Source organism: Homo sapiens, chromosome 6 (genome assembly GCF_000001405.40).
Source record: "Homo sapiens chromosome 6, GRCh38.p14 Primary Assembly".
Taxonomy (NCBI): Eukaryota; Metazoa; Chordata; class Mammalia; order Primates; family Hominidae; genus Homo; species Homo sapiens.
Window position 1 is genome coordinate 19,724,116 of NC_000006.12, and position 23,159 is coordinate 19,747,274.

A 23,159-nucleotide genomic window follows, 5' to 3' on the forward strand; every position below is an offset into this window, starting at 1 on the left:
TTAACAGTCCCTATAATTCTGCTTTTTGTCACTTGCAGGGAAACATGTTGAACTTACTGACTGTAGATCTTCACATTTAAGATTCTCCCTTTTCAATATCTTTTTTCTCTTCTTCTCCATGGGCCCTTCTTCATCGTTTCAAACATACATAGATATCCTCAGTCTAGAGCAGTTGTTCTAACCTGGGGACAATTCTACCTCTAGGGGACATTTAACAATGTCTGGAATCATTTTTGTTGTCAAATTGGGTGGAGGGGTGATACTGGCATCTGGTGGGTAGAGGTCAGAGCTGTTGCAGAATTTCCTACAATGCACAGGGTAGCCCCATTGCCTGTCCCCACAACAAAGAATCATCCAGCTCAAAATATCAATTGTTTCAAAGTGGAGAAGCCCTCATCTAGAGGGGAAAACAAATGTTTTTAAAAACTAGTTGTATATAATTTTTGCATCTAGCTACTCCCTACACATCCTTTATTTCATTGCTAAACTTTTCTCCTTTTTTTGCTTTTTTTTTTTGAGACGGAGTCTCGCTCTGTCACCCAGGCTGGAGTGCAGTGGCGCGATCTCGGCTCACTGCCAGCTCCGCTTCCCAGGTTCACGCCATTCTCCTGCCTCAGCCTCCCAAGTAGCTGGGACTACAGGTGCCTGCCACCACGCCCGGCTAATTTTTTTGTACTTTTAGTAGAGACGGGGTTTCACCATGTTAGCCAGGATGGTCTTGATCTCCTGACCTCATGATCCACCCGCCTCGGCCTCCCAAAGTGCTGGGATTACAGGTGTGAGCCACCACGCCCGGCCTTTTTTTGCTTTTTGGTTTTTTGTTTTTGTTTTTTTGTTGGAGAGATGGAGTTTTGCATTTTTGCTCAGGCTGGTCTCAATCTCCTGAGCTCAAATGATCCATCCACCTCGGCCTCCCAAAGTGCTGGGATTACAGGCGTGAGCCAGTGCACCCAGCCCGTTGCTAAACTTTTCTAAGACATCTCCCCTGCATCCATATTCTATTATGCTCTTAATCTTCTGCAGCTGATTTTCCTTCCAAGCAACTCACTGCAACTGCTCTCTTTAGGGTCACCAACCTCCTTAATTGTCAAATCAAACAATCCAATAAACATTTTTTCCAGCCTTATCTTATTTTGACACCTCTATTGCATTCAAACTGTTGGTCTTTTTCTCCTTCTTATAATACTCTTGTCTCTTTTTCTTTGCCCCTTGACACAATCCTCCTCAAGTCTTCATCCTTGTGATCATAATCATCATCATCATCAATCCATCATCACAACTCCTAACATCACATGCATCACTTCATTCTGTTCTCCATTTAAATCCCCCTATCAGGAGCACTTCTACACTGCTGGTGGGAATGTAAACTAGTACAGCCACTATGGAAAACAGTGTGGAGGTTCCTTAAAGAACTAAAAATAGAACTACCATTTGATCCAGCAATCCCATTACTGGGTATCTACCCAGAGGGAAATAAGTCATTATTTGAGGAAGACACTTGCACATGCATGTTTATAGCAGCACAAGTCACAATTGCAAAATCCTGGAACCAACCCAAATGCCCATCAGTCAATGAGTGGATAAAGAAACTGTGGTGTATATATACAATGCAATACTACACAGCCATAAAAAGGATTGAATTAACAGCATTTGCAGTGACCTGGATGAGATTGGAGACTATTATTATAAGTGAGGTAACCCAGGAATGGAAAACCAAACATCGTATGTTCTCACTGGTATGTGAGAGCTAAGCTATGAGGACACAGAGGCATACGAATGACACAGTGGACTTCGGGGACTTGGGGGGAAAAGTGGGAGGGGGGAGAGATAAAAGACTACGCATATGGTGGGTGCAATGTACACTGCTCAGTTGATGGGTGCACCAAAATCTCACAAATCACCACTGAAGAACTCTAACCAAATTCCACCTGTACCCCAATAACTTATGGAAATATATTTTAAAAAATAACAAAACCATAAAAACATAAATAAGTAAATAAATAAATAAATCCCCCCTATCAGAGAGGTTTCTCCTGGCTACCCTACCCAATGTAACACCATCTGATCTTTCTATGCTCTTGTTTCTCTTCATAGCATTTTTTGCCACCCAATATTATTTTATATGTGAATTTTAATTTTTTCATTGTCTCTTCTCACCCCACTCCCTTTCCTCCAGATTGTAAGCTTTATGATAGAATAGGAACAATATCTATCTTGTTCACTTCCATCTTATTAGTACCTAGTACTCAGTAGCTACACAGGCATATTTGTTGAATGAATAAAAGGATAAGTGAGAAAATGAAGGGAAACGGGGCCTATGAAGTGCTTTCTAGTAGCAGGCACTGTGCTTAGTTAGCACAGTATCCTTCCAGCACTGGTAGTATATGCTTTCTTACAACTCTTTGTCTCCTAAGATGCTGCTCCAAGCTGATACTCCTATTTCGATGACCACTTCTCTGTCTCCTTTGATGCCTCCTCTTCTTCCTCTTACTGCCTGGCTACTTCTAAGATTCCCTCCTTGATGCTATGCCATCCCATTGCTCTGTGCTCTCTTTGACAGCATGTTTTAGTGTCCCGCTTCAGTGGCCCCAATAGCACAAAATTCAGTATGCCACACCTCACATCTGCAGAACCAGCTGTATTATTCATCCTTGTGGCAGACCTACCACGTCTAGGCCAGTGCTGTTGCTGGTGACTGTTTCAACATTTGCAAAGGCCTTGATGCAGGAAGAGGCCTTCATGCAGGAAGAAGCCTTGAACTTTTAGGGAAGTGGTGAAAGTCCAGTGTGGCTGGAATGAGGAGTGAGGGGTGCAACAATGATAAAATATGCTGGTGAAGAAATCTTTACTGGACACCCCTTTTGTGTATACAATTATCTAAGATGTGTGGGCAAAAAATTAAAGATGAACTTGATGCCCCTTCATCAATAAAGTTTGGTGATTTAGTATCACAAGCATACTGTCTAAATGGTGCTCATGTCTGTGTCCCAATCAAACACCTTTATTTCACTGTGTAAAGCTCCCCCCGCCCCGCCCCCCGCTTGCATCCTTTCTGACGTTCCCCTATGGTCGATTTCACTGCTCCTGCTTACTTCACAAAACCAATTATCAGGCATTGTTTATTTTTTAAAATGGTGATCTCTATATAACATTATTCAGAACAAGAAAATATAGTTTTATTTTAAAGTGTTAAGAATCCACATGGAACTTAAATTACATGTAACAGAGGAAAGCACAGTTTTTGGAAGTGGCCATATAACTTTAAAAAGATGGGCCGGGTACAGTGGCTCAAGCCTGGAATCCTTCAGCACTTAGGGAGGCCGAGGCGGGTGGATCACCTGAGGTCAGGAGTTTGAGACCAGCCTGGCCAACATGGTGAAACCCCACCTCTACTATAAAAATACAAAAATTAGCCAGTTGTGGTGGCAGCCACCTGTAATCCCAGATACTCAGGTGGCTGAGCCAGGAGAATCGCTTGAACCCAGGAAATGGAGGTTGCAGTGAGCTGAGATCACACCACATAGCACTCCAGCCTGGCAACAAAGTGAGACTCCGTCTCAAGAAAAAAAAAAAAAAAGATGCCATTAGCTTTTCCCTCTTGTACCCAACTAAGTTTTCTTCTTCAAAGTATTTTTTTTTTCCTTCCTATAACTCAATTTTCTTCTAGCCAGGTTCTTTGCCTTTATAGAAAAGTCCTCAATGGTAAGCAAACTGCTGAAAGAAATCACATATAACGTGAGTTATCAAGGGGAATTTGAAAGAAAAGTAATTTCTTTCTAGGAATACCAGCCAAGACAAAGAAGAAGCTGAGTGTATGTAAGTGTGTGTGCATGTATACATGTGTCTGCTTATGGCAATATTTATACATAACATGGAATCAGCTTCTGAGGTATTCTTAGACATCGTCTACTTTTAAAATTTTCAATAGTCATGAACTCAATAAGTAATAAATAAATAAGAGATGACTTCCACTATAGGTGAGGCAATTACATAGATAACTTACTTTAAAAATCTTTTGAGAAAAAATAAGCAGATATCGTAAAAAAAAAAGAGTAAGTTTAAGCATTTTGGAAACTGTAAGGTATTAGACAAATGCAACATGTTATTCTTATTAATAAATAATGACTTGTACATTACTTGGCTTTGCACATTTAGAAATACGGTGTGACTGAAACATTATCATTGGGAGCCGCTTTAAATATAAGTGTGAAGTAAATTTGAGAGAGAATCTAGAAGAAAATAATTACTTTTTTCTTTCTGAACTTGTCTTAGAATGTTTATAGTTGAAGTTTTTTATTTTAAATCACTGTTTTTCTTTTCTATACTAATATGTCTTCTATACTAATTATCTTCTAGTCTAATATGCCTGGACATGAAGTGAAGACGGGAGTGTAGATGTAATATTCTGCCTAGAAAGATTTGTATTTCTGTGATACTATATACCATCAGTTTAACTGATTAAAAGAATTAACCAACTGGCAACCATGGGTGTTTTCATTACTTGGGTATTTTAGCACATTTTCAACTGAGAGAGATAAAAGAGGTAGAAACCACTTGGGAATCACGGATAACAACAGGGTATATTTAGATAATGGAAATTTGATATTAATTTTGGGGAGAAATAGCTGAAATCCTGCAATATGTGGAATCAAGAACTTTGGTTATTTGTCGGGTCCCTGTATTGCACAGTTTAAAACTGATGCTTATAAGAATCACTTGGTTTGCAAAATTGCCAAGGGACTAAATGACTTAATCAACCTTTCCCATTTTTATCTGCAGTCAATCTAAGCTTATTATTATCAAACCACTCAAGTGATGGCCCCTGATTGAAGAGAACATTCCATGGGGAACAACATGAGTAGCCTTCCCTCCTGGGAGGGGGGATATCCACAGACATTGCAATGTTCTTTTTTTCACCTTCAGCCTCTATAGGTAGAAACTTAAAAGCCATTTTGAACATTATCTCATTATCCCTTCACTTTTGAACTAGGAGTTGATTACCCTTAATTTGCAAGGGGGCACTGTATTGAGAAGTAAGCCGATTTCACTAATGTTACATACAAAGCACTCTGCACCAAGCTAAGAACAGAATTCAGACCTTCAGGTCATGATTCAACCTCTGCCTCTGTATTTGCATAGCATAATATTATGAATAGGATCCTCTCCTCTTCTGAAAAATAACAAGATATTATTAACAAAATGAATCCTTTAATGCACACTTAAAATCCTGTTTCTTAAATCAAAGGTGGCTATTTCTGGAAAAGAAATAAATTCAGGCATTCAAATATAGCAGTGGTTTTATTTTATTTATTTGTTTTTCCAGTTAGAAAGCTGCTCTGCTCAATAAGAGCCCAAATGAATGACTACATTCTTCAAAGAGACAAACTAAGGTAACCCTGATTGTTATGTTGACTTTGTTAAAGGCAATGGCCCAAAGCATTAGTAATTAAAGCTCATTTAAAATTAATTTAATTTTCAGGAGCCCATAAACTCATAAAATCAGGCACATGTAAAATAAACAGCTACAGATGCATTTTTGAAACCTAATAGTTTCCAAAGTGAAAAGATGGAACAAGAGAAGGAGAAAGAAAAGGGAATAAAGAGAGAGTGAGAAAAGAGAAAGTGCCCAGTATTAGTCTAAGAAGCTTGTCTTTTGAGCCCCAGTCCACTGTTTCAAAGGCAGGATTAGTTAGTTCACTTAGTAAAATTTCAAGTTGCTGAAGCATCATTGTGCTTCTCTTCAGAATGGAGCCAAATTAGATGGAGACATTGGAAAATGCTTCTCTGGGAAAACATTAATTTTGTACACATTTCTCAAAACAGATGAGAGCTCCCATTTCTACTACCTTAACTCTGCAGAAATTAATTAACTACTTTTGGCAGTAGAGTATTACCCAACCTTTACATTGATGAAAGCTTCAACTATTCCTCACAACTTTTAGACACAGGCTTTTAGATGACCAAACATGAGTTCTGGGAAAAGTGATTAATATATCTAAACTGTGGTCCAACTTTTATTTTTAAAAATAAAATGAAAGATGTAGAAACACCTTATTTTCAAAATAAGGGTTGGGAGTGAGAAATCTACTTGTGCAAATGTGGAAAAGGACAGTGGCATCTACAGTAAGCTGCAAGTGTAGATGTTTGAGTGTAAGAGCTAGAGGTGGAGTATGCATGTGGGAGAGCAAAGGACATGAAAATAAAAGTAACAGTCTCCTTTCTCTCCCCATCCCTTTCTCTCTTTACAGAATACACACTTTCAGTCAACTAAATGACCTAATACTGAAAATACAATGGCTTCAGAAAAGACAGACTATTTACAGAACTCTATTCGTGAAACAGACATTAGAGACAATCCAATCCGATCTCTGTTACATTCAGTAAGTCCAGCAAAAGCCCCTGGATAGTGATGTTTGTTTTCTCTCACCAGCTCACTTGTAGTTGAGGCTGACAAGTTTAGAAAACTTGTCTAGAAGTCTGCCACCCATTTGGTGGCACAGAGCAATTCTTAGAAGGCTATTCTAAGTCCTAATTCTGCTCTCTTGAGCAACACAGGATACAATATGTTGCTCCTCTTCATCTGCAGGCAATAGTATGGTGGTCAGACCTGGGTCAGAGAGACATGGGTGGATTACTCAACCTCTCTAAGCATCAGCTTCATTACCTGTAAAAGGAAATAACAGGTATTTCCAATCCTCAGAAAAAGGATTTTTGTTAGGGTTAATGAAATAATGCACTTAGAACAATGCCTAGAATTTAACTAATGCTTAACTACATTAGCTGCTTTGATGGTGTTTAGGTGTCAGACAGCCCTGAGTTCAAATCTCAGCTCCACTGTTTAGTAGCTGTCCTTAGGTTAATACATTTATCTGAGCTTCTGTTTTTTTTTTTATCTTTGAGATGTCTATCTCACAAGGGTTTTGTAAGATTTAATGAAAAAAATTTAAAGTGGCTGATATTTGGCTCTAATATTTTTATCATCATTGTCATCAGTGAACACTTAATCAATGTCCTCCTTAAATTATATTGCTAGAAACTGATAAAAAAACAATTCTAAAGTAGTCAGAATCAGCCCAAAGGGTACCGTGAAGACTGTCTCCCTTGACCCTAAACATGATACAGTAGTCCTGCCACTCCCCCCACAGTCCCCCACCACCCCCACAGCCCCCTGCACCATCCATGGTTTTGCCTTCTGCAGTTTCAGTTACCCTGGCCCAACTGTCATCTGGAAATATTAAATGGAAAATTCCAGAAATAAAAAATTCATAAGTGTTAAATTGCACACCGTTCTGAGTAGTGTGATGAAATCTTACACCATCCTGCTCCATCCTGCTTGGGACGTGAATCATCTCTTTGTCCAGCATATCCACACTGTATGCACTCCCTGCCCATGAATCACATAGAAACCATCTCGATGAGCAGATCGGCTGTCGCCATTTCACAGTGCTTGTGTTCAACTAACCCACATTTTACTTAGTAATGGCCCCAAAGTATGAGAGTAGTGATGCTGGCAATCTGGCTATGCCAAAGAAAAGTAAAGTGCATCCTTTAAGTGAAAAGATGAAAGTTCTCAACTTAATAAGAAAAAATATATATACTGAGGTTGCTAAAGTCTACGATAAAAATCGTTTATCCATGAAATTGTGAAGAAGGAAAAAGAACTTTATACTAGTTCTGTGGTTGCACCTCAAACTGCGAAAGTTATGGCCACAGTGCATAAGAGCTTAATTAAGATGAAAAGGCATTAAATGTGTGGGTGGAAGACATGAACAGAAACACGTTCCGATTGATGGCCATCGGGTTCGGTGCTATCTGCAGTTTCAGGCATCCACTGAGGGTCTCGAAGTATATCCCCTGTGGATAAGGGGTGGGGGGACTATTGTACATTCTTTAATGCAGTCTAACATTGTATTTGTTTTTCTTCTTTTAGACCCTTAGAAATAAGAGTATGAAAGAGAAAATACATACTCTGGAATCCATTGGTCCTACCCCACTTATTCAGAATAATTCAATTAAAAACAACATACACCATATAGGAATGTCAACAGTGAAGGTGAGTCGCATGAGAATTCTCTTTTGAAAAAGACGTATTTATACTTAATTTATTTATCCAGTCCAGTAATTACTCTGCAAACACTTGCCAAGTGCCTACAGACTGCGTCAAGCATAGCCTTACTCTCTAGCTTTCTAGGTCTCATGATTCAGGGGCATCTGGGATCCTATGACCTGTTTAACAGAATCCTATTTCTCTTAGATGGCCTTAAAATGACCTGTGTGTGATTTGCTCTACATAATTATTCATGTTTCCCAGAGAGGTAACATTATGTAGGTCTTCGAAATACAGATTTCAAATTGAAAAGGTTGAACTACCTCCCATCAAGATGGTAGCATATGAAAGGGCAATACATTCCAATCCCAACACAGCTAACCAGTGCATAAATCACCTGGACTTCTCCCTCATCTACAGAATAAGGGCACCATTCTAAGTAGTGTAAAAAGTCCCTTCTAGCCTTCTCATTCGAACATTATGTAACTGCATTATTCTATCATTAAGAATTTCCAGGCTGGGCGCAGTGGCTCCAGCCTGTAATCCCAGCACTTTGGGAGGCCCAGGCAGGTGGATCACCTGAGGTCAGGAGTTGGAGACCAGCCTGGCCAACATGGTGAAACCCCATCTCTACTAAAAAGACGAAAATTAGCTGGGCGTGGGGGCAGGTGCCTGTAATCCCAGCTACTCGGGAGGCTGAGGCAAGAGAATCACTTGAACCCAGGAGGCAGAGGTTGCAGTCAGCCGAGATCACGCCACTGCACTCCAGCCTAGACGACAAGAGTGAAACTCCGTCTACAAAAAAAAAAAAAAAGAATTTCCTGTAACACAAACTACCCATCTATGTATGTCCTAGGATAATAGCCCTAGGGTCAGTCATCATAGAATCAAATCAAAAGCTGATATCTTTGTTAACTCTCTAACAAATATTCTAGAGGAAACTCCTGATGTCCCAAAATATATGAAACCAGCCTCAAAAAAATTCCTGCACCACACAGTGCTGCTTTTCCTACCAGCTAACTTCCCTCCTCATTCCTATTTCTTTCAAGTTACAGAAGTCCATTTTGTTCATATATTTAATTGCCACGAGCTTCAAAGGAGGCCAAGCCCCACCTGGTCCCAGGGGTTAAAGGTTTGTTGGCCTTAGCAAATCAGCATTATTTTAATCCCCTTGCCAATGGCTGGTTTAGGATTGGTTTGCTGTTAAAAATGCATATTTGAGAGGAAGCTCCTTTTTCCTACCCCTTTGTTGAGCTATATGAGGTGATGCTCAGAGCTTCTGCAGCCATCTTGTGATCACAGGACCATAAACCTGAATATGGAAGTAAAGACATCAAACACAGCAAAGCAGAAAAATGGAAAACACCCAGGCCCTTCTTGACATTGTTGAGTTGCTGAGTTAACTGACTCTGATTAGTTAACTTGTCTACTTGTTATCTGAGATTTAAAATAGTCCTTTTTCATGGTTGTTTCTCAAATGGTAATGTGACTTCAAATAACTTGTGTGTCTGATTAAAATGCAGATTCTGATGTATTATAGGAGGCCCTGGGCTGGGTCTAGGGATTCTGCAGTTCTGACAAGCTCCCAGGTGAAGGTGACACTGCCAGTTCTGAGCCTGAACTCTGAGTAAGAAGGGTTTAATTCACTTTAGATAGATATTCAGTGACTAGTAGCTGAAATCATCCTAAATGACACAACTCTCTTAATCTAGTATTTTCTCTCATCATCTCCTACCTGTGTTGATGAATCTATTTAAGGACCTAAAAATTTTAACATTAATTTCAGTTGCTGTTAACCTGCATGCAGTTCATGCTTTGACTCGATTCCTCTCACTTCAATACCCCACCATCACTGGCACCTTCTTATTCTTTTCTGCCTTCAATAGGGCATTCACGAGTCCCAGCACCCACGGTGGGACAAAGGCGCCTGTGAATGCTAGGTGCCTTTGCCCTGCTCTAGCGTGGAGAGCTTGCCAGCACACCTGGCCCAAAGGTGATGCAGCTGCATGCACGTCGGTTCCTTCCCTGCCATCTCCAGCTCTAAAGAGAAATGCTTGAGCGCTTTTGCAAATCAAAACCTTTTCATCCTGAATTTGGTGATTCACCCTGAATGGTGTCTTCTTGGAAAGTCTGTAATGCACTATTGTGTAAGATGGGTAAAATTGGCCTGTCTCATTGACAACGCTCTTCTCATGGCTCGGGATGAGCTGAGGGAGGCGAGAGTCACAATAAAAAGGGTTCTTTACAAACGGCCTCCCTCCCGGGTCGATGTAGCCACGCCAGCGTACCTGCGTGGGATGGATGGGCTGTCTACGCCCGCTGTTGGTATCACTGCCCCCTTTATTCCTCACATCCCTCTGGATGAGAATTAGATTTCAGCAGGTATGAAGATGGTGCTTGTTTTTAACAAGGAAAATTTACAAAGCTTCCATACTGAAAAAAAAAAAAAAAAGTGTGGGGGAGGCAAGCATTCAAAGGCCATGCCAAATTTGCTTTTCCCCAAAGCAGGGAGAGACAAAGGAAATCCCAAGCATACCTCCCAGACACAAAGAACATGTGTTTACCCTCCAAATTCAAGCAAGTGAACTCAGCTCATTATCCCAGGAGCCGGCCACTGAGTCTATCCAGTTCAAGAAAATGCCTACGGTCCCATTCAGAGAGTGGAGTTTTATCTTTGTATTCAGAGTCAACTAACACTTCTTTTCACAGCAGACAACTCTACACTATGAACTTTCACATATATTATCTTATTTGATCTCTTCAACAACCAACCCTGTCTGGTAGATACTGGAATTAGTAAGAGAAAACTCCAGAATCTGAAATGTGCCTATTGAGCCCAAGAAAGAAATTTTTACAAGAGGAAAAGCTAAAATTGCATTGGTAAACTCTGTTAAATAGTGCTAGCACAGTTTTAAGAGCAATCTATACTTTTTATTTTCCACACAGCTAAAACAGACCTCTCCTTGGCTTGTGCCTCAGTGGGACAGTCCTGGTCTTTGCAGACAGAAAGACTGACCACCAGAACCTTGCCTTGGTAGCTTGTAGCCCTGGATTTATAACCCACAGTCACCTTGATGGGCCAGGACGATCTGGTCACAACTTGTCATGTCAGCTGCCAGCAAGCTAAGTCCAGCCCTTGGCCAAGTGTGTGTGGCTCTCTCAACTTTGTTCATTTGGATTCATTGCTGGTGTTTTAACATCTAGAGATGTCACATAAAAATCTGGATTTTTGAATTCTCCAAAGAAGTCAGAAGATCTGGCTGTACTACACCGTGGGATAATCCCTCTATGTCCTGGGCAGTGAGAGTGCCTCGAATCAGAGAAGGTGGTCTCCAGCTGGCCCACAAAAGCTCTCCCTGCTGTCTTTCCAACATGGGGGCCAGTGTTGTTTGTCAAATATCTATCATTCTACACCAGGGTCTCTCAGCCTCAGCACCGTTGGCATTTGGGGCCGGCCTATTCTTTGCTGTGGGGGACTGTCCTGTACATTGCAGGATGTTTAGCAGCATTCCTGGTCTCTGCCCACTAGATACCAGTAGCACCCCCCACCCCTAGTTGTTCCAAAATATCTCCAGGCATTGCCAAATGTTCTCTTTTTGGGAGTTGGAGACAAATTTCCCCAGGTTGAGAACTCCAGCTCTGCATACATGCAGCCCTCGTCAATCATTTCAGGTACTAGCCAAGCCCCCATCGATCAGTACTGGAGTCCGCATCTCCTACTGCCCCCAAATAGCCCTTCATACTACTACTGATGAAAATTCTAGACATACACACTGATTTCCTTCAATGCAGGCTTTGTGTTCCCTTTAAAATGAGTGTTGGCCTGGGTGAGGCACTATATTATCAGTCATTTATATATGTTGAAGTCTCTAGATCTTTTCTTAAGGGTAAATTTTCACAGAGGAGAGGATAAGGAGAGCCTGAAACCACTATCCCCTGAAGGAAGGTTGATAAAAGAAAGTGCTTTTAAGAAGGAAAGGAAACAGAGACAGAGTAACAAATGGGTTAAGGGATTTGCTTAAGTGCCAGCCCAGCAGGCATCCGCCTGAAACATAGCTTTATGGGGATCACCTGTGCACACTCTGCAATTTACTGCTTTGAATGAGTAGGAGAGTAGATTTACGCAAGTCCGCCTCCCTCTGCCTGGCTTAATGATGCACCTCATCGTATTCTGATGAAATCTAGATGCAATCATATTCTTGTCTTAACTAGTTGTGCTGGCAAGGGGGTCTTTCTCCACAACTGAAATTTCTCATGTTGGCAACATAGCTAAGAAAAACATACCCATTTGCCAGCTCCCCTCATTGCTGGCCCTAATTAAAGAGGATGGTGCCGCTCCTTTGAAAATGGCTGTTGAGGTCAAGGGGATGCTGAAAGGAGGAGAACCCTCTGCAGGGGTGATTACCCCATGTGTCCTCTTAGCAGGAACCTTAGCAGGAACATTGGGATCTGGTGAAGGGTATATTGCATCACAGGATCCAAGGAGAGTCATTCGGAGAATCCTGGAGCTACTCAAACCTAACTTTACAAATTCTTTATAATTAAGCAGCCACGTAACGTCATACACCCAATCCTCTGGAGTGTGGCCACAGCAGTACCCAGAGGAAATACATAGACTCAAAAGAATCTACTAGAGATCAAGAAGAATGAAGATTAATACTCAAAAATCTAGAAAAAAAAGTAAAATTTTTTAAAAGTAGAAGGAAACTAAGAATAAAAATGGATATTAATTAAAAAGAAGCAATAAAATAGGCAGTTTTGAGAAATATGATATAAAAAAGACATCAAAGTCATAAATAACATCAGGTATAAAAAGGGGCACATAGGTATAGTTACAGATGAGATTTTTTAAATTCTACAGTATAGGAGATCCTCTGTGCTCTGTGCCAGTCAAACCCTACCTGAAACTTTTGCTTATTTCTGCCCAACAAAGACAAGTGACCCTCTCATAATACTCTAGGCATAGCTCTATTATAGCACTTCATCATGGTATATACTTTTTTTATTTGTCTCACTTACTAGCCCCAAAATTCTTTTATAGAAGGGAATATATCTTACTTATTTCTGTACTGTAGCTCTAGGCATGCCTGGGATACAGTTAATATATAATAAATATTTGATACATGAATACATTCAGAGAAGACTAACAGGCTGATGAAACATGAAAATTCCATCATGAGGAAGGAAATGAGGATATATACTGTTTTTTTGTTTGTTTGTTTTTTTACGACAGAGTTTCGCTCTTGTGGCCCAGGCTGGAGTGCAATGGTGTGATCTTGGCTCACGTGCAACCTCCGCCTCCTGGGTTCAAGTGATTCTCCTGCCTCAGCCTCCTGAGTAGCTGGGATTACAGGCACCCCCTACCATGCCCAGCTAATTTCTGTATTTTTAGTAGAGGTGGGGTTTTCACCATGTTGGCCAGGCTGGTCTCGAACTCCTGACCTCAGGTGATCCACTGGCCTTGGCCTCCCAAAGTGCTGGGATTACAGGTGTGAACCACCGTGCCCAGCCTACTCTTCAAAACAAATGATTGCAGAACACAACATAGTTGTCTGTCTTCAAAAGTGTATGGGCTGCACGCCAGTTTGAGGGACAGAGCAAGACCCTGTCTCTAAAAAAAAAAAAAAAAAAAAGTGTATAGGTCTGTCATGGGGAGGAAAGATTAGATTTTTCTGTATAGACCCATGGAATAGAATTTAGACCAAAGTACATAACGTAAGCAGATTAAGATTCAAGTAGCAGTAGAGCCAATAGGATTACTTGATTTATTAGGAGCTTTCCTTCCCAGTAAGCTTCTATTTAAATTGTTTATAGGTAAGAAGTACCTCTTACTTCTTTCAAATTAATCATGCATCTTCCTGTCTTTCTTCCCATACATGAACCTCTACTTCAGCCCCAAACCACCTGAAGACAGTACAGGACTCTAATGTAGTGGATGGTCAAGAACTGTCTGGGGCCAGCTTAGGGTTATAACCATGTACATACTACTTCCCACATCTCCATCAGATTTTCAATTATGGAAATAAACCTCAGCAGGTTGGTATGAAGCCTGATTCTAGAAAGGCTAAATATGCCACTAAGCTGCCTGCCAGACGCTGCTAGTATCAACATTCTGCTCTTCATTCCAAATTGCAGTTTAAAATCAGTGCTTCTTTTTCCCAAATATCATGGCCACCTGTTTATGTCTTCTTTTCCTCTCTGACCAGCATGAAAATATTTCTTTAAAAAATTGAATTAATGACTTTTTCTCTTCATCAACTTCATTAAATGTAGAGATTAGGCTGATTTTTTAACCTGATCAGAGTTCACCATCTTCAAATACTGCAATGGTGTTGTTCCTCATGCAAAGACACACTCTTTTTTTATTATACTTTAAGTTCTGGGATGCATGTGCAGAATGTGCAGGTTTGTTACATAGGTATACACGTGCCATGGTGGTTTGCTGCACCCATCAACTCATCATCTACATTAGGTATTTCTCCTAATGCTATCCCTCCCCTTGCCCCCAACCCCTGACAGGCCCCGGTGTGTGCTGTTCCCCTCCCTGTGCCCATATGTTCTCATTGTTCAACTCCCACTTATGAGTGAGAACATGCGGTGTTTGGTTTTCTGTTCCTGGTTAGTTTGCTGAGAATGATGATTTCCAGCTTCATCCATGTCTCTGCAAAGGACATGAACTCATTCTTTTTTATGGCTGCATAGTATTCCATGTGTATATGTACCACATTTTCTTTATCCAGTCTAACATTGATGGGCATTTGGGTTGGTTCCAAGTCTTTGCTATTGTGAATAGTGCTGCAATAAACATACATGTGCATGTGTCTTTATAGTAGAATGATTTATAATCCTTTGGGTATATACTCAGTAATGGGATTATTGGGTCAAATGATATTTCTGGTTCTAGATCCTTGAGGAATCACCACACTGTCTTCCACAATGGTTGAACTAATTTACACTCCCACCAACAGTGTAAAAGCATTCCTATTTCTACACATCCTCTCCAGTATCTGTTGTTTCCTGACTTTTTAATGATGGCCATTCTAACTGGCATGAGATGGTATCTCATTGTGGTTTTTGATTTGCATTTCTCTAATGACCAGTGATGATGAGCTTTTTTTCATGTTTGTTGGCCGCATAAATGTCTTCTTTTGAAAAGTGTCTTTTCATATACTTCGCCCACTTTTTGATGCGGTTGTTATTTTCTTGTAAATTTGTTTAAGTTCTTTGTAGATTCGGGATATTAGCCCTTTGTCAGATGGATAGATTGCAAAAATTTTCTCCCATTCTGTAGGTTGCCCGTTCACTCTGATGATAAGTTTCTTTTGCTGGCAAACACACACTCTTGCTGTGCTCACCTAAAGTTACATTTTCTGTGAATACCACTTTCAGACAAGAAGTGCAATTACAAAAATTATATCTGATATTTATAATTTCTTAGGCCTATACCTGCGGTGAATTGGTTTCACACTAGAGGAAATGCAAATTACTTTGAATCCAGGTGGAAGAGTATTCTCTGACGTGTTTATTGAAAATTCTACAGCAAAACAAATGTAGCAGCTTAGAGAATCAGTAAGAGCTAGAGAGATGAAAATTTTTTACCTGCTCAAATTCAAAATATTGCCTGTGTGCATTTGCATATATACATATATGCTGTAAATACTTAAGAATATGTAATACCCATTCATTGTCTCAAACAATCAGGGCTAGCCACTGAAGCACGTCCCTCAGGTTGTTTTTGTGGAAAGCTGACTTCACTAGCATGTTTATTTCTTTGCTCCCCAAAACCTGGCTCTTCACAATGGCAAACCTTTTGGGAATACATAAAATATGCAACAAATGTGTCTGTCAGCTTGCCTAGTCTCTAATTGAAAGCCCCAAATCACCAGAATAAAAGTAAATAGGAAATCATGTTTAATACACCAAATCAATGAAAAGCATATAAAAGTTAAAATTGTCCTTTTTCATGAAGCCCCCAACTGTGTGCTGGTTGAAGAAATGACAGATCTTCTTGAGTTGACTGCTGTGTATATATGTTCCCTGATGCAACCTGAAGTTCTCTGTAGTGAACGTTAGTTCCTGAAATTATTCAGAAGGGTGCTGTTCACTCGTCAGAGTCTTAATGAAGGGGAAAACAGAACAGGGCATTTTTCTGGGAGGGGAGAATTATATCCTTTTCTCCTGTGGGTACTGTGGTCTGCTTGCTTGCTTGCTTGCTTGCTGGCTTGCTTGCTGGTGAATTTTTGCTTTGTAGAGAGTTTCTGGTTTCCTTGGGAAGTTGTGTTTCTGATCACTACATTGGACACACACACACCCTTTTCCAGAGTATCTGCTGTGTCATATCATTGTTTTATTAATTACACTCCTTGGACTTAATGTTAAACAGATTGGATAGAAAGGTAATAGATGGAGAGAGAAAGAAAGAGAGAGAGAGAGAGAGAATCATGTACCCTCTGCTATATTCCAGTCCTCAAAAGCTTTAAATTCCCCCAAAAAGTGCCTGACAGAAGAGAAAAAAATCAAATTTTCACAAGTGATCTGCACTTTCACCAGAAAGTGACCCTAGTGTGCATTTGATGTTATTTTCAGCTGCCCAGTGTCTGAATCCCCTTCCTAAAATCAAGGCAGCTTCTACTATATGAATTTTTACAGAAGGCAGAGCTCATCTCCCCTTTAGAAGCCTAAAAGGCCACTTTTCTGTGACCTCTGCCAAACTGGCCAAGGTTCATGGACATATGACCTAACCTCAGCCAATCAGATGCTACCACCCAAGACATTTAACCTGGTGGCCATGATGAAAAGACACAGAGATGGTGGAGAATGTGCGCCGCCATTAACATCCAGTGACCACTGCAGTGGCACAGGCAGTGCCAGCTAGGGTAGCAGTATTGTCCTCATCAGGACACTTCATTTGCTCCTGCCCAACTACCAAGCATGGTTATCCAGGCTTCCTGGAAATTCTGTGAGATAATCAGTAGTTTTTCTTTTTATTTTCTTTTACTATAAATGTTTATCAGTACAACACATGTATGGAGTTGACAAATCAAGTAGAAGTAAAAGAGTTAGGAGGAAAAGCAACTATCCCCTGCTTCTGCTGTTAGTTCCTCTCATCCTCCAACCATGCTCCCTAGGCACTTTTAACTTCTTTATCTATTTCTCCTGGAATTTATCTCCATGTTCCAAAATAACATGCTTACACTACTAGTCGTTGATTCACCAATATTAGACATTAATAATGACTTCCTCTAAAGGTTAGATGAGGATTTAGCCTCTCTATCCCTTCTCTACTTTCTTTCACCCAATCCTCCAAATACAGTTACATAACCACTTTATTTAAACCAACATATTATGTCCACATTATAAGGTTTATATAAAGGCATGTAGTGCATTCTGATTATCTTCTTTTTGTGCCATCAATTTTTGTCTCACCTTTTTAGAGTTGCTGGTAGTTTTCTGTATACCAGTCGTTGATATTTTCCCAAATGTTTGATTGTACAATAATTTCTGATAATTTCTGTGTCTTTTTCCAGATGCTGTATCATATCAGATAATCTCTTCATGCCCCCTTTTTTCCTTGGGGATTTGATGTTTATCTGGTGGCTCTCTTTCCATTTGAAAGATTTTCTCTGATATTTGCAAGTTATTAGCCATCTGAGAACTACAAGACATTCATAGAGTGATGGCCTAAAACCAATGAGAAATCCCGTGCACATGGGCGGGCACATGCCCTGGATTCTCTCTAGATTGAATGGGGAAAGTCTACTGCTTCTTGGTGAACTCCTAAGTTCATGGAAGTTTTTTTTGTTTGTTTTTGTTTTTTCTGGGGCTGTTTAATGCCTCCAGAATAGAATCTACCACTCTTTCTCACTGGGGTATAAGCCTGGCCCCTGACCTTCTCAAGAGAGAGAAGCAAGGCATCCTACCAGGGCCAGCTACATACATTGCAAGGCCCAGTACAAAATGGAAATGTGGACCCCTTGTTCCAAAAGCAGGGGAAATGGCACTAATGTTACTAAAATATAAAACTTTTTCTTTTCTTCTGCAGTCTCTTTCTTGAATTGTCATAGTGTTTTGTTTTTACTATTTAAAGTTATTCTAAGTTTAAAAAGATTAAAAATTTAAATAATTAGCATGAATTTTTCAGTGTTCATCTTTATGTTGTGCAATGCCAGTTTTAAATGCAAATATAAGCACATTTAACACTTAAACAGGACGACTGAAATTACACAATTTGTGTTTCATAGTGTGTACTTGAATATAAGTTTCATTCTTACCAGAAAAATGGAAATGCTGCACAAAAAAAATAAATAAGTAAAAACTCAATCATTTTTATCTTACTTTCATTTCCTTTTTTTAAAGACAGAATCTCACTCTGTGGCTCAGGCTGGAGTGCAGTGGCATGATCTCGGCTCACTGCAACCTTCACCTCCTGGGTTCGAGCGATTCTCATGCCTCAGCCTCCCAAGTAGCTGCGAGCACAGGTGTGTGCCACCATGCCTGGCTAATTTTTGTAATTTTTAGCAGACAGGGTTTCACCATATTGACCACGCTGGTCTCAAACTCCCGGCCTCATGTGATCCACCCACCTTGGCCTCCCAAAATGCTGGGATTACAGGAGTGAGCCACTGTGGCCAGCCTATTTTTATCTCACTTCTTAATAGATACATATTCTACTAACACTCTACATTCCTTACTGAAGAATAAATTAGGACAGAAAAGAAACTCTGAGTCTTACTACCTGTCCCATTCCATGTCATCATTTTTACTGTAGGTAGTTTGGCTAATACAAGAAAGTAACAGGAGTAGAAAGGACATGATGGGGTTCCTCGGAGGTCATCATTCTTAGAATGCATTGCCTTGTTCCTGCCTTTGAAAATCGTTATTGGAACAGGCAGTGTGGCTTCTCAGGCCTGTCAGCAGCAGCATACTCACTCACAGACTCAACATCTTGCTTTGCACTCACTTTGAGGCTTGCTAACCTACCATACATCCTGGGTCCACTGAAGTTCTGTGCTCATGGGACATCAGAAACACTATATTTAAATAGGGCAGCAAGGAACAGTGGACACATGTATTATGCATATCTCCTCTGCTCACATTCATGCTTCGTCATCCCATCAAACTTCACTTATAAAACACAAGTTCAAAGATAAAATTATTCAGAATTTCAAGATGGCAGAGGAGAGCATTAAGTCAAGCACAGAGTCGATCTGAGTACTGCGCCCTGTGCCTTGTTTCCTACTCATCATTATGCAGGCTTTCATTCAAGTCCATTTTCAACACAACTGCCTCACCCTCACCTACAGTGGCGCCTGGTTTCTCTGAGTCTGTAACCTCCTCTCCTGTTCAGTTTCTTCAGAGAATAAATCTTTTATTTTTGAGATGGAGTCTTGCTGTCACCCAGGTTGGAGTGCAGTGGCGCGATCTCCGCTCACCACAACCTCCACCTCCTGGGTTCAAGGGATTCTCATGTTTCAGCCTCTTGAATAGCTGGGACTACAGGCGCTGGCCACCATGCCTAGCTACAGAGAATGCATCTATTCTGTGTTAAAGAACCATACCTTAAGGCCAGGCGCGGTGGCTCACATATGTAATCCCAGCACTTTGGGAGGCCGAGGCGGGCACACGAGGTCAGAAGTTCGAGACCAGTCTGGCCAACATAGTGAAACCCTGTCTCTATTAAAAATACAAAAAAATTAGCCAGGTATGGTGGTGTGCACTTGTAATCCCAGCTACTCAGGAGGCTGAGGCAGGATAATCGCTTGAACCCGGGAGGCGGAGGTTGCTGTGAGCCGAGATTGCACCATTGCACTCCAGCCCAGGTGACAGTGCGAGGCTCCATCTCAAAAAAAAAAAAAAAAAGAACTATACCTGGAACATAAGGCAGATCCAAGAGGCACATGGGGAACAGGTCAGGGTTGATAAGGGTCTCAGTGGGATCAGCATGAATAGGAAGTCAGGTAGGTCCCTGGAGCCTGGGCAGGGCAAAGAAAAGTGGGTAGGCAGGGTATGAAATATCAGAACAGTGTCAATATGGGCATGAAAAATTAATCTGTTATTGGCACATCAATTTCTTTATTTAACTGAAGGTTACTGTTTCTATTAAAGAACATGTTGCACATTAAAAATGCCTTTTTTAGGCCTTTGACAAAATTCAACAACCCTTCATGCTAAAAACTCTCAATAAATTAGGTATTGATGGAACATATCTCAAAATAATAAGAGCTATTTATGACAAACCCACAGCCAATATCATACTGAATGGGCAAAAACTGGAAGCATTCCCTTTAAAAACTGGCACAAGACAGGGATGCCTTCTCTCACCACTCCTATTCAACATAGTATTGGAAGTTCTGGCCAGGGCAATCAGGCAAGAGAAAGAAATAAAGGGTATTCAATTAGGAAAAGAGGAAGTCAAATTATCCCTGTTTGCAGATGACATGATTGTATATTTAGAAAACCCCATTGTCTTAGTCCAAAATCTCCTTAAGCTGATAAGCAACTTTAGCAAAGTCTCAGGATACAAAATCAATGTGCAAAAATCACAAGCATTCCTATACACCAATAACAGACAGCCAAATCATGAGTGAACTCCCATTCACAATTGCTTCAAAGAGAATAAAATACCTAGGAATCCAACTTACAAGGGATGTGAAGGACCTCTTCAAGGAGAACTACAAACCACTGCTCAATGAAATAAAAGAGGACACAAACAAACAGAAGAACATTCCATGCTCATGGATAAAAAGAATCAATATCATGAAAATGGCCATACTGCCCAAGGTAATTTATAGATTCAATGCCATCCCCATCAAGCTACCAATGACTTTCTTCACAGAAATGGAAAAAACTACTTTAAAGTTCATATGGAACCAAAAAAGAGCCTGCATTGCCAAGACAATCCTAAGCCAAAAGAACAAAGCTGGAGGCATCACAATACCTGACTTCAAACTATACTACAAGGCTACAGTAACCAAAACAGCATGGTACTGGTACCAAAACAGAGAGATAGACCAATGGAACAGAACAGAGGCCTCAGAAATAACACCACACATCTACAACCATCTGATCTTTGACAAACCTGACAAAAACAAGCAATGGGGAAAGGATTCCCTATTTAATAAATGGTGCTGGGGAAACTGGCTAGCCATATGTAGAAAGCTGAAACTGGATCCCTTCCTTACACCTTATACAAAAATTAATTCGATATGGATTAAAGACTTAAATGTTAGACCTAAAACCATAAAAACCCTAGAAGAAAACCTAGGCAATACCATTCAGGACATAGGCATGGGCAAAGACTTCATAACAAAAACACCAAAAGCAATGGCAACAAAAGCCAAAATAGACAAATGGGATCTAATTAAACTAAAGAGCTTCTGCACAGCAAAAGAAACTACCATCAGAGTGAACAGGCAACCTACACAATGGGAGAAAATTTTTGCAATCTACCCGTCTGACAAAGGGCTAATATCCAGAATCCACAAAGAACTTAAACAAATTTACAAGAAAAAAACAACCCCATCAAAAAGTGGGCAAAGGATATGAACAGACACTTCTGAAAAGAAGACATTTATGCAGCCAACAGACACATGGAAAAGTGCTCATCATCACTGGTCATCAGAGAAATGCAAATCAAAACCACAATGAGATACCATCTCACACCAGTTAGAATGGTGAACATTAAAAAGTCAGGAAACAACAGATACTGGAGAGGATGTGGACAAATAGGAATGCTTTTACACTGTTGGTGGCAGTGTAAACTAGTTCAACCATTGTGGAAGACAGTGTGGCGATTCCTCAAGGATCTAGAACTACAAATACCATTTGACCCAGCCATCCCATTACTGGGTACATACCCATAGGATTGTAAGTCATGCTACTATACAAACACATGAACATGTATGTTTATTGCAGCACTATTCACAATAGCAAAGACTTGGAACCAACCCAAATGTCCATCAATGATAGACTGGATTAAGAAAATGTGGCACATATACACCATGGAATACTATGCAGCCATAAAAAAGGATGAGTTCATGTCCTTCGTAGGGACATGGATGAAGCTGGAAATCATCAGTCTGAGCAAACTATCACAAGGACAGAAAACCAAACACCGCATGTTCTCACACATAGGTGGGAATTGAACAATGAGAACACTTGGACACCGGGTAGGGAACATCACACACCAGGGCCTGTCATGGGGTGGGGGGAGTGGGGAGGGATAGCATTAAGAGAAATACCTAATGTAAATGATGAGTTAATGGGTGCAGCAAATCAACATGGCACATGTATACCTATGTAACAAACCTGCACGTTGTGCACATGTACCCTAGAACTTAAAGTATTTTAAAAAAAAAAAAAAGCCTCTTTTTTTTTTTTTTGAGATAGGGTCTTGCTCTATCGCCCAGGGTGGAGTGCAGTGGCTCAATCTTGGCTCACTGCAACCTCTGCCTCTCAGGTTTGAGGGATTCTCCAGCCTCAGCCTCCCTAGTAGCTGGAATTACAGGCATGTGCCACCACGTCCAGTTAACTTTTGTATGTTTGGTAGAGACGGGGTTTTACCATGTTGGCCAGGCTGGCTTCAAACTCCTGACCTCAGGTGATCCACTGCCTGCCTTGGCCTCCCAAAGAGCTGGGATTACAGATGTGAGCCACCGCGCCCGGCCAAAAAAATGTCTTTATTAAGTATGGCATCCTGAGAACTTGTGATTTCCTCAACGTGTTTTTGTTGGTGTAATGGGATTTAATGGATCTTGGGGTTTACACACCTGGTATTGCACCCTGGTTCCAGTATTCCCCAAGGGTAGCTAGCCATAGACAATTTATTTAACCCCACAGAGCTTTGCTTTTCTCTTCTGAAAGTAAATGGAGGTAACTATATCTAATCTCAGACCACTGTTGTGACGATAACGTGAAAATTGAAATTATATAGCATAGTGCCTAACACCATCTTGATACATAATGAATATTCATTTTCTGCCTTGTTTTCGATATTATAAAAATCTCTTATGAAGATATTTAAGTGAACCAAATGTCAAATTGAGAAGGATAGAGGCCAAAACAGACTTTTTTAATCCTCAGACAATGGATAATAGGTGCTATATAAGCACAC

At 40.5% G+C, this 23,159-nt stretch overlaps 1 long non-coding RNA gene across 1 annotated transcript in view, besides 2 other annotated features; it reads right to left on the minus strand.

Annotated features, from left to right (window-relative positions):
* Window positions 1-5,305: 5,305 nt before the first annotated feature.
* The window catches only part of LNC-LBCS (lncRNA bladder and prostate cancer suppressor, hnRNPK interacting), a 75,339-nt gene continuing 57,485 nt past the window's right edge, over window positions 5,306-23,159 (minus strand). Inside the window, exon 4 of the long non-coding RNA NR_134651.1 lies at window positions 5,306-6,664. This is a non-coding gene — a long non-coding RNA (lncRNA bladder and prostate cancer suppressor, hnRNPK interacting). The remainder of the gene's footprint in view (window positions 6,665-23,159) is intronic.
* Window positions 6,374-7,573: an enhancer, noted in NCBI's record as "MED14-independent group 3 enhancer chr6:19730720-19731919 (GRCh37/hg19 assembly coordinates)". NCBI's record gives its function as "activates an origin of replication core promoter dependent on BRD2, BRD4, P300/CBP and CDK7 cofactors, and independent of MED14, by STARR-seq in HCT116 cells {active_cell/tissue: HCT116}" and the evidence as "EXISTENCE:reporter gene assay evidence [ECO:0000049][PMID:35650434]".
* Window positions 10,329-10,829: an enhancer, noted in NCBI's record as "H3K27ac hESC enhancer chr6:19734675-19735175 (GRCh37/hg19 assembly coordinates)". NCBI's record gives its function as "activates a minimal SCP1, AML or CMV promoter by ChIP-STARR-seq in primed H9 embryonic stem cells {active_cell/tissue: H9 hESC(primed)}" and the evidence as "EXISTENCE:reporter gene assay evidence [ECO:0000049][PMID:30033119]".